Source organism: Homo sapiens, chromosome 2, assembly GCF_000001405.40.
Source record: "Homo sapiens chromosome 2, GRCh38.p14 Primary Assembly".
NCBI lineage: Eukaryota > Metazoa > Chordata > Mammalia > Primates > Hominidae > Homo > Homo sapiens.
Genome location: NC_000002.12, coordinates 38,482,892 through 38,498,685, shown reverse-complemented (window position 1 = coordinate 38,498,685; position 15,794 = coordinate 38,482,892). Strand labels below are relative to the sequence as shown.

At 46.1% G+C, this 15,794-nt stretch overlaps 1 long non-coding RNA gene across 1 annotated transcript in view, besides 1 other annotated feature; it reads left to right on the top strand.

Annotated features, from left to right (window-relative positions):
• LINC02613 (long intergenic non-protein coding RNA 2613) overlaps positions 1-15,794 on the top strand; it is a 57,104-nt gene that overhangs the window by 17,055 nt on the left and 24,255 nt on the right. Inside the window, exons 2-3 of the long non-coding RNA NR_110259.1 lie at positions 2,208-2,411; positions 15,530-15,727. This is a non-coding gene — a long non-coding RNA (long intergenic non-protein coding RNA 2613). The remainder of the gene's footprint in view (positions 1-2,207; positions 2,412-15,529; positions 15,728-15,794) is intronic.
• Positions 12,659-12,828: a silencer, noted in NCBI's record as "silent region_11373". NCBI's record gives its function as "represses an Ori minimal core promoter by ATAC-STARR-seq in GM12878 lymphoblastoid cells {active_cell/tissue: GM12878}" and the evidence as "EXISTENCE:reporter gene assay evidence [ECO:0000049][PMID:35858748]".

The following is a 15,794-nucleotide window of genomic DNA, read 5'->3' as shown; positions in this document are numbered from 1 at the left end:
TTCTGTTCCCTTCCATGACCCCAACCCTGTCTTTAAGTCTAGTGACTTTAAAAGCCAATATTTCTCCTTGAGTGATTTCCTCCACTCTTCCCCAAGAACACACATTTCTCTGCGGAAACTGAATTATTGCTTTTGTCCTTAGTTTCCTGGAAGAATCAAGATAATTTTCTGCATGGCCTTCATGTCAACTCTTTTGATTTCACTCCAGTATTTCTCTCTCATAGGCTCTCAATTCTTTCATGGAAACTTCCTGAGTTAAAGTCCGCTACGTCTTCCCCACTCTGAGATTACAGCATCAATTTCATCTCCTCTTGAGAATTCTCATTCCTCGCCCAACCAGCTGCCTTGGCCTACTTTAGACCACTTTGCTGTGAGAGGAAGTCACTCTCTCCCCTGGGGTTAAGCTCTCACTTTCTAGCCATAACCTCACATCTGTCACTCAAGTGCAACCCCTGCCCCACCCCCACTTTCCTCTGGTGGATGAGCATTGTGGTGGAGAGAGGGTGGAGGGATGGGAATAAGTGGGGGTGGAAGATGGGAGAGGTGGAGATTATTTGTTACTGAAACATTCATTTTAGGAAAAATCAGATCCTTGATTTCCTTCCTTTATGCTTAAAAAAAATGCAATTTGGTGTTGTCTTTAATTTGGGGTGAGGTTCCTTAATGGGTCCTGTCTTCATGGTCTCTGAAGGTCTTAATCAGACTGACTGCTGCAGCCCAGCGATCAAATCTTATGACTCCAGGATATTTCAGCGGGAGAACCTTGCACATTGCTTAATGAATGGGCTGTTTTAGTTTTACACTGTTCAAATATTTGCTGAAGGAAAGAGTGAATTATGCTCCATAGGCCTTAGCTTAGCTGGATGGTGGGATTCACAATTACAGTGTCACACCTCACGTAGACTCTACCTCAGAAAACATCTTACATTTAAAAATATTTTTGAGGTTAAAAAAGGCAAAATCTGCAAAACTTTTTTTTTTTTTTTTTTTTTTACCTCCACAAAGAAAACCTCAATGCCTCCTCCCCTCAGCCAAGTATAAAGAGTGTAATTTTCTCCTTGAGGAAAGTGACATAAGTCATCTGACAGGGCCTGCATGATCCGGGTCACTCACTGCAAGTGCTCCGGCAGCATCTTCCTAACACAGAAGCTTCCTGAGATTGCACATTGGCATCCGTTCGTGGTAAGGCTGGAGGATGGAGCTGTGCTATTTCTTACCTTAGGACTTATGAAGCAAGCATCTGTGGAAGCCGGGGTGACAGAGTCCAAGGTTTAGCTTGGGATCTGCTTCAAGGACAAAGACTTTTGTGTCATCTGAGCAAATATTAGGAACTGGTCACTGCTGTGTGCCACTCACAGCTCACATCTGGGTGTTAGGAAATCCAAACCTGCAGCCAAGGCTGTCATTCTGGCTGGGTATGAATGTATCAGCTACAAGAGGCTGCAGCCAAGTGCAGAAATCCAGCCAGCAGCTAACCCAACACAGAAGAGTCACTCTAAGTGCAATGGCCACCCTCTTCCTCTCCTGTTCTCCTGCTCCAGAGGGGAACTTTCTAGGGGTCATCCAGATGATCGTCTCTGGACAGCCTGAATTAGAACCACTGCAGAAACCAAGTGTGCACAGCTGAAACCACCCTCTGCCCCGGCCCTTTACCAAGCAGACTGGTCAGCCCAGCGAGGCCCCCAGCATATGGGGCTCAGTTCTTCAGGCTGCCTCCTTGGAAATGGCAGAGCAAAATCACTGCAGGCTGGGTGCATGCCCTCCCCACCCTGGGGCATGCCAATGGGGTCAGTGACAACTGTTTCCAATTAAGGGCTTTGCTGAGAAGAACAGACTGTGTTCTGGAAATAAAACCCCCTTTAAAAATGTCCACTTCATCCTGGACTCAAGATAGGAAATTTCAATGTTCCTAACCAGAAAACGTAAAGGCAAAGGAAAAGCTGGAGAGTCCCTTTTCTAAACCTTCTTTAGAGATATTTAAAGCAAAAATAATTCTCCATGCCTTCCCGAGGGAGCTCTTTAGGCCCAGGGTTGTTTACTCGACTTCTCTTGCTGATTTGGTGGCATGCGTGGGCTCATGCGCCCCTCTGCAGTAGGGTGTACATCCAGGAAATCGTGGAGTAGGGGTTTTGTCCAGGACACCACAAATGAGGCAATCCAAGTGACCATTTGTGGGACAGGTCATTACGAATGCCTTTCTTTTCTAGGGCAGGAAACTGAAGCTCTTGGGAAGGTGGAAGTTGCACGTGGTCTCACAGTCAACTGTGCCAGAATAGGAGGCCAGGAACCATCTCTGCTGGAGGAAGACCCACCACGCATCCCTTCAAGAATGCCAAGGTCCAGAGCAAGTGCTTCCCTTCTATGGGCACAGGAGGGCTGTGGGAGCCCACAGAATGTGCTTCTGGCCAGAGGTATGTGGCATTCTTTATAATAATGGACATTTGGGAGCATTTACTATGTGCTAGGCACTTCTCTTGACATACATTAACTTAATTAAGAAACCCTATAAAGTAAGTGCTATATTATTGCTATTTTACAGATGAGAAAACTGAGGCCCAGAAAGGCTAAGTAATTTGTCCAAGGTCACTCTTGTAGGAATTGGCAGAGCCATGATCTGAACTCAATCAAGTCTGATTCCAGAGCCAGTGCTGTTAGTTCCATGCTCTCCTGTCTCATGCCCCTCACTCTCTGGGTTTTAAGGACAGTTATTTACTTAGTCCATTGTATGACTGAGTATGTTCATGTACGTGATTCCATTTGATTTCTTTCTACAGCAGCCCTAGGACGTAGGTAGATTGAACAACATTGTCCCTATCAGGCGGTGAGGAAACTAAGACAGAGGTCAAGCATCTTTTTCAAGGTCACCTTATTAGTAATAAACTACTCAGGCTCCTGATTTTGAAGAAATCTTTGCTCCATTGACCCACGTGGAGTTAATCCTATGTGTAGGGTTAGAAACAAGGAGTAATGCTCAACACCCGATTTGCAATCTCAGTTGATTTAAGACCCAGGACTTACCTCCTACACATCATGACCTCCTTGCAAAATAGAATGGAATCATCGCCTCCAGGTGATACTAGGTTGCCAGGACAAGATGGGCCTGACCTTCCTCTGGTGATGGGTGTTGACCATAAGGCCACATGAGAAACTGAGTGCTAGGTCACAGTGCTCCCGGAACTGGCCTATGGGTGTGCCCTGAAGAAGTAGAGCAATGGCAGTCCTTGTTCAGATTACCCTGTCTTCCTGGGTTGCTCCAGCATGTTCTCTGTAAGAACTTCAGTCATCTTCCTGGCATGAGAGAATCTCAGGTCTGGTCACCATCAATAAGGAGGGTCCCCTTTGGATAGAGTGGCTATGGGCCACCTGACTAGTGACTAGCTTCCCTTGGTCCAGTGTATGGATGCTTTTGGCCTGAGCCAGGTTACAAGGCTGATTTCATTCAAGGTGCAGGACACTGTCCAGAACAACTTCACTGAAAGAGCCTCCTGGACCCCTTTGCTCTGAAGGGGGCTGAGGACTTACTGCCAGGCAGTAAGCTATCAGTGGCCTGTTAAACACAAAGATAGAGCTTAGAAGAGGCCTTGGAAATGACATTTTATTTTATTAACAATATAGGCCAAGTTTAAAGCGTCACTGGAACTGTTCACTGCTGAGCTGGAAGCAGAACCAGGCTTCTGACTCCAGGTCCGGCACACTACTGCTGCTCGCAGGAGATGTCTAGATTGCCTAGTCAAACAAGCCTCTTAGATTAAGTACAAAGGGATGTGGAGTCTACTATCCGCTCCGCTGGAAGCTTGCTGAGTACTACCCAATAATTTTTTTTAAAAGCAGGACTTTCTTGGGTATCAACATTTCCATATCTTCTCTCCTTTCCCAAATCCCTGCTCTGTAATTTGAGATGCTTCCCTGATCTCAGACTCAGTGCAGACACAGTACAGAAAGGATGAGAAGGCATGAGGAAACCCCAAACAACAGAGCCAGGAATCTGTCTGCGGAAGGGAGAGATGCTGGAAGGGTCAAGCAGGTGGGGAGGTATCAGATGCCACATGTCTGCAGTGGCGACCCTGCTGCCCAACGCCAACCCTGCTTCTTGGCAGCATCTGCTGGACCATCAGAGGCATGATTCAGCCAGAGGACACATCCGAACCCGTTAGGCATGGAACACCAAGTAAACAGCCCCTAGGAATGTCTCTGACTTGAATTTCAGCTCATTTACTTGGGAGCATCTGTCCTCTCTGGTTGGGGAAAAGAGGAATAGGGGATAGGGAAGGCTCAGCTTACAACACCCTTTGGCTAAAGGAGGCTGCGTGGTCTGGGGGGCAGTGGTTCTTGGGATGTTTGGTGGGGGTACTGCAGGGACAGAGGGTGGGGCAAGGGGAGACTGAGGGGAAGGCTATTCCTGGCACCCCCACATCCCTGGCTCTCAGCTACTCAGCTGCTATCTGCTCCAAACAGTGCAATTCTGCTTGAATTTCGTTTCAAGTGAAGGTTCTGTGACTAGAACTTTCTGAGAAGCATTGAACTCATGGAGATGTGTAGGATGAGAGCAAGCAAGGTTTTGAGCTCATACCTGCCAACAGCTTCTGAGTGACCTTCATCAAAGCTACGCATCCCAAGAGCCAGACTTCGGTCATCTCCACTGCAAGGAAGATTTGCGTGGGCTCTGTCCTGTCTTCCCACACGGGAAGGGGGTCAGGGCAACTGTCTAAGCAGGTGACCCTGCCTTGGAAATGCTTTCATCTTGAGGGCACTCAGACCAGCCCTCCAACCCGCCCCCTCTCCCCTCCTATCCCAGATGAACTCAAAGGTGTGACACTAACTGGAAAGATAAAAAGGATGATTAAAAATCAAGGTATTGGCCAGGTGTGGTGGCTCACGCCTGTAATCTCAGCACTTTTGGGAGGCTGAGGCGGGCAGATCACCTGAGGTCGGGAGTTCGAGACCAGCCTGAGTAACATGGAGAAACCCCGTCTCTGCTAAAAATACAAAATTAGCTGGGCGTGGTGGCGCATGCCTGTAATCCCAGCTACTCGGGAGGCTGAGGCAAGAGAATCACTTGAACCTGGGAGGCGGAGGTTGTGGTGAGCCAAGATCATGCCATTGCACTCCAGCATGGGCAACAAGAGAGAAACTCCATCTCAAAACAAAACAAAAACAAAAACAAAAACAAAAAAAAATCAAGGTACTATTATCACATAAGTTGACAAGGAAGAAGAAAAATGGGAGAGGACAGAGAGGGGGAGGAAGAATTCTGAGTCTTTTAGCCATTGATATTTACTGTCTAGTCAAGCAAGCTGCTTAGATTAAGTAGAAAGGGATGCAGAGAGTTTGAGACAGTTGCTGCTGGCTCAGGTTAGGTAAAGCACACTAATTAGAAAGGGTGGTAAGTGGCAATCATAAAAAAGTCAGGAAACAACAGGTGCTAGAGAGGATGTGGAGAAATAGGAACACTTTTACACTGTTGGTGGGACTGTAAACTAGTTCAACCATTGTGGAAGTCAGTGTGGCGATTCCTCAGGGATCTAGAACTAGAAATACCATTTGACCCAGCCATCCCATTACTGGGTATATACCCAAATGACTATAAATCATGCTGCTATAAAGACACATGCACACGTATGTTTATTGCGGCATTATTCACAATAGCAAAGACTTGGAACCAACCCAAATGTCCAACAATGATAGACTGGATTAAGAAAATGTGGCACATATACACCATGGAGTACTATGCAGCCATAAAAAATGATGAGTTCATGTCCTTTGTAGGGACATGGATGAAATTGGAAACCATCATTCTCAGTAAACTATCGCAAGAACAAAAAACCAAACACCGCATATTCTCACTCATAGGTGGGAATTGAACAATGAGATCGCATGGACACAGGAAGGGGAATATCACACTCTGGGGACTGTGGTGGGGAGGGGGGAGGGGGGAGGGATAGCATTGGGAGATATACCTAATGCTAGATACGAGTTAGTGGGTGCAGCGCACCAGCATGGCACGTGTATACATATGTAACTAACCTGCACAATGTGCACATGTACCCTAAAACTTAAAGTATAATTAAAAAAAAAAAGAAAAAAAGTATCTAAAAATTATTAAAATATATTCAAGCAACTCCAAAAAATAAAAATAAAAATGAATTTTAATAGCAAGTTAAAAAAAAAAAAAAAAAAAAAAGAAAGGGTGGGAAGCCAGAAAAGACATAATTACCCAACTGATTCCAAATGAGGCTCATTGAGCCAATAGGAAGTTCACCATTGCAACACACCCTACTGGAAAGGTCAAAATCACTGAATGCAAACTGCAGCAGGTCAGGAGTGTACTCTGATATTCAACTGAAGACTGACAGGTCTCCAAAAAAAGGACCAGCACCTTTGCTGACTGCTGAATTCCCAAATGCAAGCCTGCTCTCCAAATTCCATGACGAGCATAACGCTTGCTGTTCTGTGCAGTTATCTATTAAAGGAAAGATGACTTTTGAAAACAACATTCTCTAGGTAGTAGGTGTGCAAGTAGGGGGATTTAAGTGATCTGTGGAGTAATGATGATGACGGAGAAGATGAAACTAAAGAGGGAATCAGAACAAGATTATAGATGGGTTAGCAAATCTGGATTATTTAACAGTAGTTTTTGGAGAATACCTATGCCCCCAACAATAAAGGTTATGGAAGAAAAAAAAAATCAGACCTAATGTTTCCATGAAGATTCTTAGTAGAAGATGCATTTTAGCCCAAGGAGATGATAGCATAGTAATTCAAATCCCTTGTTCCCATGACTAAAAATAAGGATGATTAAAGAATGGAGTCTTAGCTCTCTGACATCCCAGATAGTAGGCCTTGTCCCTGGACTTGCAAATTGAGCAAGGCAAGCACAGTGGAGAAAAAGAAATGCCTTTATATTTAGATTGTTTTCCACCCATTACTAAGGCAGTAAGGTTGAGGACCACAAGGTCACTCTTGGATCCTCATTGGGCCTTCTTCTGGCTGACTGCTTTCTGAGAGGGTCATTGTGCATTCCCGAAATGACTCCCTCTGGAATCATCCACCCTCAGACCATCCGTCCACATGTCCCAGTATCTACTGTAGCTGGCAGTAATTTGCATGCCCTCTGGAATTTCTTGGGCTGTATCTCCAAATGCCTGCTGCACTATTTGGAATGTCATCCTCATCTCACAGCATCTTGTCTCCAACCGGGGATTTCTCGCATGGCGTTCACTGCATTTACCTTGAGGGCTGACATTGCCACAGCTGTGCAGAGGAGATAGAGCCTATAGATGCATGAAGCCATCCCTTCAACAACTTCTCAGACACAGCAAAATAATTCCAGCAAACAGCAGAAACCAAGGAGTGTCTTCCATATGGAGGCCAATCAGTGGACACATGAATCCTTACGGGCAAGGCTAGTTGCATTGTTTTAAATAATTCTGATCAGGGTCAAGGGTAGTACCATGACCAAATGGGGCAGTAGAAGACTGCTCAGGACTGGGGAGGAGGAGACGTGGGGGATATAAGTACGTCTTGAAATATCCTGACCTGGGCCAGGGAAGGACAGGTTTAACACCATTTTATGATGGTGTGTGTGTGTTTAAACTACTTTTGGAATTCCTCTATATTAAATTATCTGAAACTTTGACATTACAGCAAGTATAGGGTATAAATTGCTATGTATTCTATCTGCTGTCTATTAGAGGTCCATAGTTTATGGCAGTCTTTGACCCATATGGGTTGGCTATCACAAAACTGCACAGAATCCTGTGAAAGGTAAGGACAGTTTATCAAACTCCCCTGCCAGGTTTTTCAACCCAGAACCCCACATAGGGATCCATACACACACACACACACACACACACACACACACACACACGCCCCACTATAGGACTTCACTATTATCTATGTTGAGCCCCTGTTTCTGCTGTGTTGGGAAAGGGAGATGAGATGTTAATAATATCTGCACTTACTTGAGCATGCACGGGTTTTTTTTGGCGGAGGCACTGAAAATTGGGCAACCAAACTTAGAAAAAGTGACCCTGCCATCTAGAAATCTCGGGTGATAAGGCAGCACAATTGAACTTGTATTGTTGGTATCCTCAAGACTTCTTCTTGGTTCCAGTCATCCTGGAGAACCCAGGAGGGCAGGACCCTCACCTCCCATAAACTCGAGATACCTATGGGTGGGCTGACTCCGGGGGGCCCCTCCATGAGAGAATGAGGCCTGCACACAGCTGCAGAGGACCCTGGATTGGATAATGAGGGTGATTGTGACATACAGCATGGTAGGAAGAGCCTGATCTAGAATCTGGACTCCACCACCTCTGAGGTATGTGATCTTTCCCACCTGCCTTAAGCTCCGAGCCTCAGTTTGCTCGCTTGGTGGAAGGAGCAGAATTGTCTAAAGTGACCCCAGGGGCTTTCCCTAGGTTGCTTGGGCTGGATGGGAGATTCCTATCTCCTCTCTATTGGAGAAGCTGCATCTGAACCTAGCCCATGGCCTTAGCAGTTCTTCCCCTGACAAGAAGGTCTCTTCTGTCCTGTGGGCTCCAAGGGCCAGGCAGTTGGCACTTTCAGACAACTTCTATAAACAGCTGGCAAATCCAGACTGCATTGCACCAGAGTGCCTTGTTGAATTTGTTTTTACTTGTAGGATATGAAAAAAGAATGACAGGTGCAGTGGGGGCCTCCATTGCTAAATAGACCCACAGTGTGGTCCAGCAGCTGTGGGAAGATGGGTGGGTTCAGGGACCTCTGCCTTCATTTATTTTGCAGGCCCTGGCTTGGTAAATTTGCCCTTCCCCTAGTCAAGCATATTCCTTAACACATGCCTTGTGTCATCATGAAATTTGTCTTGAACCCTGGAATAAGGACCCAACTTTCATGATACCTTGTTTGCAGGAATGGGGTTACAACATCTTAAAGGCTTGTGAAAAAAAAAAAAAAAAAAAAAAAAAAAGCAAGCCAGGCACAAAGGCAATACTGTCAATAATGGCACTGAGTTGTGCCTGGGCCTGGCCTATTCAGAAAATGATGATAAACGCAGTGTGGCTTCGGTGCTGGGTGCATGGTGGGGTTGGGCCCTGAGGCTGCAGAGGGACTGGGGCTAAGGAATCATTTTTCCCTTGAGAGCCACTGAGTGTCTGCATCCCCACTCTCAGCTTGGGAAAGACAGGTGGAGTCTCCCCTGGCCCCAGCCCCAGGTCCCCAGAAGGTGGTCTGGGGGAGTGTGGAGCAGTTGGAGATTTGAAGGCAAATCGTGATGAGGTCCCCAGTGGAGCACTGAATGTGGGGTTGATGAGAAGCGTCCTTCAGAAGGATGAATAGGATTCTGTGACCATTACATGATGTGGGGAGTGAAAAGGAGAAGCAAATGTGCTCGATACATACCACTTTTGTTCCTTTCCTTCCCCCCAGCAGACAAAGGTACCCAAGAGCCAGAGGGGCCTCTCTGGGGAAAGAGCTGACCAGCTAGTGTTTCAAGGCCAGGATGCTGGCTTCATTCCTTGGGTGCTGGACATCCCCCTGAGCCCTTTCACCTGGCTTGGCTGAACCCCACCTCTGCCCACCTGTCCATACCTGTTTGCGTTGGTCCCCGAAATACACCCTTGCCCTCCTTTTTAAAAGAGAAAGGATGGATGCCAATAACTATTATTATTTTGGAACTTTATGAAAGTTACCTAAAAAAAAGAATCTGTCAAGAAGAAGACAGTCAACTATTAAAAATGGAGCTGGCCAGGCGCAGTGGCTCACGCCTGTAATCCCAGCACTTTGGGAGGCTGAGGCAGGAGGATCACTTGAGCCCAGGAGTTCAAGAACACCCTGGAAAACATAGTGAGACCCTGCCTCCACAAAGTTTTTTTTTTAAAAATTAGCTGAACGTGGTGGTGTGTGCCTGTAGTCCCAGCTACTCGGGAGGCTGAGGCAGGAGGATCACTTGAGCCCAGGAGGTTGAGGCTGCAGTGAGCCACGATCAGACCACTGCACTCCAGCCTGGGTGACAGAGCGAGACCCTGCCTAAAAATATATATATATGTATATATATATATATATATATATATATATATATATATATATATACACACACAGAGAGAGAGAGAGAGAGAGAGAGAGAGAGAGAGAAAGAGAGAGAGCACTGAGGTTTGGCATGGGCCAAAGTCTATCTCTGATCTAGGTAATTTTTTTTTAAAACTGGACCTGGTAAGCAAGGATGAGGTATGCTCAAGATGTGTAGGGGGTGGGACAGGTAAAGCATTTGTTGGGAAGTGGCCTGATATTTTACAGACCTGAGACCTGTAGGTGTCTCATTTATATAAAAATTTTTTTTTGAGGTGGAGTCTCTCCCTGTCGCCCAGGCTGGAGTGCAGGGGTGCGATCTTGGCTCACTGCAACCTCTGCCTCCCAGGTTTAAGTATTCTCATGCCTCAGCCTCCCAAGCAGCTGGGATTACAGGTGCCTGCCGCCATGCCTGGCTAATTTTTTAATTTTTAGTAGAGACAGGATTTCACCATGTTGGCCAGGCTGGTCTTGAACTCCTGATCTCAGTGATCCACCAGCCTCGGCCTCCCAAAGTGCCGGGATAACAGATGTGAGCCACCGCACCCAGCCTGTAGGTGTCTCATTTAACTCCCAAGGACGCTGTGAGGTATTAGTGTTTCCATGTCGCAGCTCAGGAAGCTGTGGCATAGACCATATCTATCTGACAATGAAGCCTCTGACCTGGCCCCGAGACACATGCTGGGCATAGGCAGGAGGACCCGTGGTCCTGGGTGTAATTTTAAAGGAGCACACGCTCTGCCCCGCTGTACTTGCTGCTCCCCCAAGAACCCCATGTGCTCTTCAACCCAAACCAGTGAGTTCTTTGACCATCCTCATTATAATCATCATTAGGATGATCAACATCAAATGGAAATAAGATTGTTTAAAAATCCCATGAAATTAAAATAAATTGCAGCCCAATTTTTTTCTGTTTGTAGTAAATTAAAGCAAGCAGCCTCCGAGAGTGCCGGGCTCTCCTTTGGCCCGTGTTCAAGGACAGGATCAGCTTCCTCACTATCAGCTCAGCACCAGTTCCTGATCACAATGATTATGTTTATATTTGTTTGTTTATTTATTTTTTGAGACAGAGTCGCACTCTGATGCCCAGGCGGGAGTGGTGCAGTGGCGCGATCTCAGCTCACTACAACCTTTGCCTCCTGAGTTTAAACAATTCTCCCACCTCAGCCTCCCGAGTCGCACTCTGATGCCCAGGCGGGAGTGGTGCAGTGGCGCGATCTCAGCTCACTACAACCTTTGCCTCCTGAGTTTAAACAATTCTCCCACCTCAGCCTCCCGAGTAGCTGTGATTACAGGCACCTGCCACTACCCTTGGCTAATTTTTGTATTTTTAGAAGAGACAGGATTTCACCATGTCGGCCAGGCTGGTCTCAAACTCCTGGCCTCATGTGATTCACCTGCCTTGGCTTCCCAAGGTACTGGGATTACAGGCGTGAGCCACTGCTCCCAGCCTGATTATGTTTAAACAGATGTTAAAAACCAGCAGGTCACAATTCATATTGGGCTTGCAGATATATTACCAATAATATGTTGTTAGGCCTGGAAGTTGGCTTTAATTTCCTTTTTTTAAAAAAAATTGAAATAGTTGCCAGCAATGAAATGAACACTAAGAGATTTCACCTAAAAAACCTTGTTTTGGCTCCTTTTTAAAATCCAGAAGCACTGGCAACACAAGGCCACTTTCCCGCATGGCAGCAAGTGGCTGGAGCCTTGTGGCAACAGCTAACCCCATTTGCTGTCTGCTCTGCCTGGCCTGCTGGGACTGGCTTCATTCACCTGGGTTTCAGATCTGCCCCGTGTAGGCCTCTGAGTCCTTGACTCCTCTATGATGCAAAGTGGGTTACCTAATTAATTATCATGTTAGATTCAGCGCACTCCACGCACACTTGTGTCCCAGGGCCTGGGGTCCAAGGCTATGTGTGTGGTGGTGGTAGGGACTGGGGACCACAGTGGGGAGTTGAGGGAGGGAATATGGACACATTAAAACATGTGGCCTCTTGCATCTTAGTGCTCTGCAGCCAGCCTGGTCGGCTCTGAGTCCTGACGGAAGAGAGCACTTCTTTGCTTCTTGAGGTCCCTACTCCCACTACCCTATATCCAGAACCAGCTCCAAAGGTACAGAGAGATGAAGGAACACCATTAGCATCTGTTCAAGGCCTGCCCGACCCTGGGGAGTCTTTAGCTGCCAGATGAAACGACCGAGGTCCTGGGAGATTGCATCTGCCTGCAATGAATTCCAGGAAACTCTGCTGGAGACTGTGTGGCCCTAAAATGGCTCTGGGTGCCAGGAAGAAGGAAGTCTGGAGGGAGACCGTGGCTGAAAATAATGCCATTCCACTTGTCCAATTATGGGGTTTTCTTTTTCTTTTTTGTTTTCTTTTCTCGTCTTCAAATTTACACAGCTCTTTGAATTTGACCCAGAATAGTAATCTATTTTTATAACATATTTTTCTGAGATATAATTCACATATCATACAATTCACCCACTTATAGTGCAATGGTTTCCGAGATATTACAATATTTTTTAATATTGTGCTAAAATATGTATGTAACATAAAATTTGCTATTTTAGCCATTTTTAAGTGGACAATTCAGGGCATGAAATACATTCACATTTAGTATGCAGCCATCCCCACTGTCTAGTTTCACCATGTCTAGCTGACATAGTCCCCAACAGAAACTCTGCACGCGTTGAGCAATAACCCCTTATTCTCACTTCCCTCCCATCCCCTAGTGGCTGCCAGTCTACTCTCTATCTCTATGACTTTCAGTATTCTAAATATTTCATATGAGTAGAATCATGTAATAGTTGTCCTTTTGTGTCTCAGTTTATTTCACTGAACATAATGTTTTCAAGGTTCATCCACATTGTAGCATGTGTCAGAACTTCATTTCTCTTTTCTTTTCTTTTTTTTTTTTGTTTTCTTTTTTGAGATGGAGTCTTGCTCTGTCGCCCAGGCTGCAGTGCAATGGCACGATCTTGGCTCACTGCAACCTCCACCTCCCGGATTCAAGCAATTCTTGTGCCTCAGCCTCCTGAGTAGCTGAGATTACAGGTGCCTGCCACCATGCCTGGCTAATTTTTGTATTTTCAGTAGAGATGGGGTTTCACCATGTTGGCCAGGCTGGTCTCAAACTCCTGGCCTTACATGATCTGCCTGCCTCATCCCCTCAAGTGCTGGGATTACAGGCCCCCCTCAAGTGCTGGAATTACAGGAGTGAGCCACCGTGCCCAGCCAGAACTTTATTTCTTTTTAAGGCTGAAGCATATTTCGTTGTCTGTGTATGGCACAATTCATCCATTCATCTGTTGATAGACACTGCGGTTGCTTCTACCTCTCGGCTATTGTGAATAGTGCTGCAGTGAACATGGGTGTACAAGCACTTGCCCTAGTCCCTGTTTTCAGTTCCTTTGGGTAGAGACCTAGGAGTGAAACACCATCTCCTTTCAACTACCTCCCCCATCCTGGCAGCTCACACCAAGCCAGAAAATTAACTCTGATCCTAAAAATAGTTGGAGATTTAGATGTTCTAGGACAAGCTGACTGCGGTTTGACCACTTAGGAGTACCTGTGTGAGTCCTTTGTCTCTTCAAAGCCCAAATGATGCCATTTTTCTTTGCAAGTAGCCAGTCTGCCATGGAGGGCAGCGTGTGGAAAAGGCAGATGCCCACGAGGCAGAAATGTCCTCAGGGGGGTTCCTGCTGCTCCCCTCCTCCCCAGAGCAGAAAGAGGGAAAACCTCCCATTGTGGCTGAGGAGAGTGGTCCCTTCAGGAGGAAGGAGAGAGGGAATTAGCCTAGTGAGCTTTTCCTGTGGGGCAGGCACTGGAGCAGGAGATTATCTGGTTGCTCATTAAACCCCCAGGAGTATCATTGCTCCCATTTTATAGATGAGAAAAATGGCTCTGAGAAGGTGTCTCACAGACTCAAGAACTCAGTGGCTGACACTGAAAATGCAGAAATGAGGAAATACCAGCAGATGATGCTTCCTGAAAAGGGGACACATGAAATGCTGTGGGAATTCAGGACAGGGAGGGACACCGCTGCTTCGTGGTTCAGGGGAGTTTTGAGGAGAAGGCGGGCCATGCAGCTGGACCATGAAGGGTAATTTTATTTCCACAAGAAGATGGAGCGGGGAGAGGGGCAGCAGGAATAGATGCTGTAAATGGGTTTGGAATTCTTTTCTCTTCTACCTGGTTAAATCCTGGAGTCCAGGAACTCCTGCCTGTACTACAGTGGTGCAGGGGGTTTCCTGGAAAGCCGACTCCAATGGAAATTAGAGAGCAGGATGTTTACTAGGGAGTGCCTTTAGGATCAGCGCCTGAGGAAGGGAAGGGAAAGGAAGGGAAGGAAGCTGGACTGCAATTCAGGCCCCATGAAGGCCTCAGCCAGGCACCAGGGAGCTCTGGAGTTGGGCAGGCCCTTCACTTATCCCAGTTGAGGTGAGGGAGCCTGACCTTTCTCCGTGCATCGGGGATACTGGCTGCCCTTGAAAGGAGGCATGATCTTGGGTGAGGCAGTTATCTTCAGCCACAATAATTCCCCAAGAGAATTGATAGCTGAGACCTATCAGCTGACAACCCCTCCAGCATCTGGGGCAATCAGCTTTCCTTTCCTAAAGGGAGATCTGGGCCGCACAACACAGAGCCCACTGGGCACTGACTCACTGGGGTTCTCCCTGCCCTGCTCTTCACTCAAGGCTGAGGACAGTCAGGCTCCCTGGGCCTCTGTCTCTCCTCATCCAGGCTGTGGCTTAAAAAAAAAATCAGCTTAAATGTGTTGAGTAGTTCATAAGTGCAACATCTTTGATATTAGAAAGGAAGAAAAATATATATATATTTTAAATTTTAGAATGTTTATTGATCATTTGTGTTTCTTTTGTGGATATTTTTAATATTCCTTATACTTAAAACCATTTTTTCTATTTTAATTTTTGTGGGTATGTTGTAGGTGTATGTGGGGTACATGAGATGTTTTGATACAGACATGCAATGCATAATAATCACATTATGTAAAATGGGGTAGGCCGGGTGTGGTGGCTCATGCCTGTAATCCCAGCACTTTGGAGGCCGAGGCGGGCAGATCACTTGAAGTCAGGAGTTTGAGATCTGCCTGGCCAAAATGGCGAAACCCCATCTCTACTAAAAATACAAAAATTAGTCAGGTGCGGTGGTGGGTGCCTATAATCCCAGCTACTTGGGAGGCTGAAGCAGGAGAATCGCTTGAACCTGGGAGTCGGAGGTTGCAGTGAGCCGAGATCATGCCACTGCACTTCAGCCTGGGCAACAGAGCGAGACTCCATCTCAAAAAAAAAGAAAAAGAAAAAGAAAAAGAAAAAAGAAATATATATTAGTTCTTATTAATTGGTTTATTTGATTAATGAGAGTGTTTATTCATCCAAAATGTAAAATTTTAGATACAGTATATATTTTAAGATGTATCTGAAACTGTAATAATGTGTTCTGATGTTATTACTTTTCAGTGGGATCCCCGAGGAAGATGTTAAGACCTCTAATAATATTTAAGAGCAAAATTAGCACAGCTCCAGCCCATGGGCAAGTTAAGAGACAGGAGTAGTGTCTGTGGAGTGGAGGAAAGCAGAGGCTGCCGCTGACCATCCTGCAGCCCTCGCTCTGGCTGCTCACAGCTCTCCACCTTCTCTGGACTTCGTCACTTCAGTGTGAGTAGAAAACTTTTTATTTATTTATCTATTTATTTATTTATTTATTTATTTATTATTTATTTAT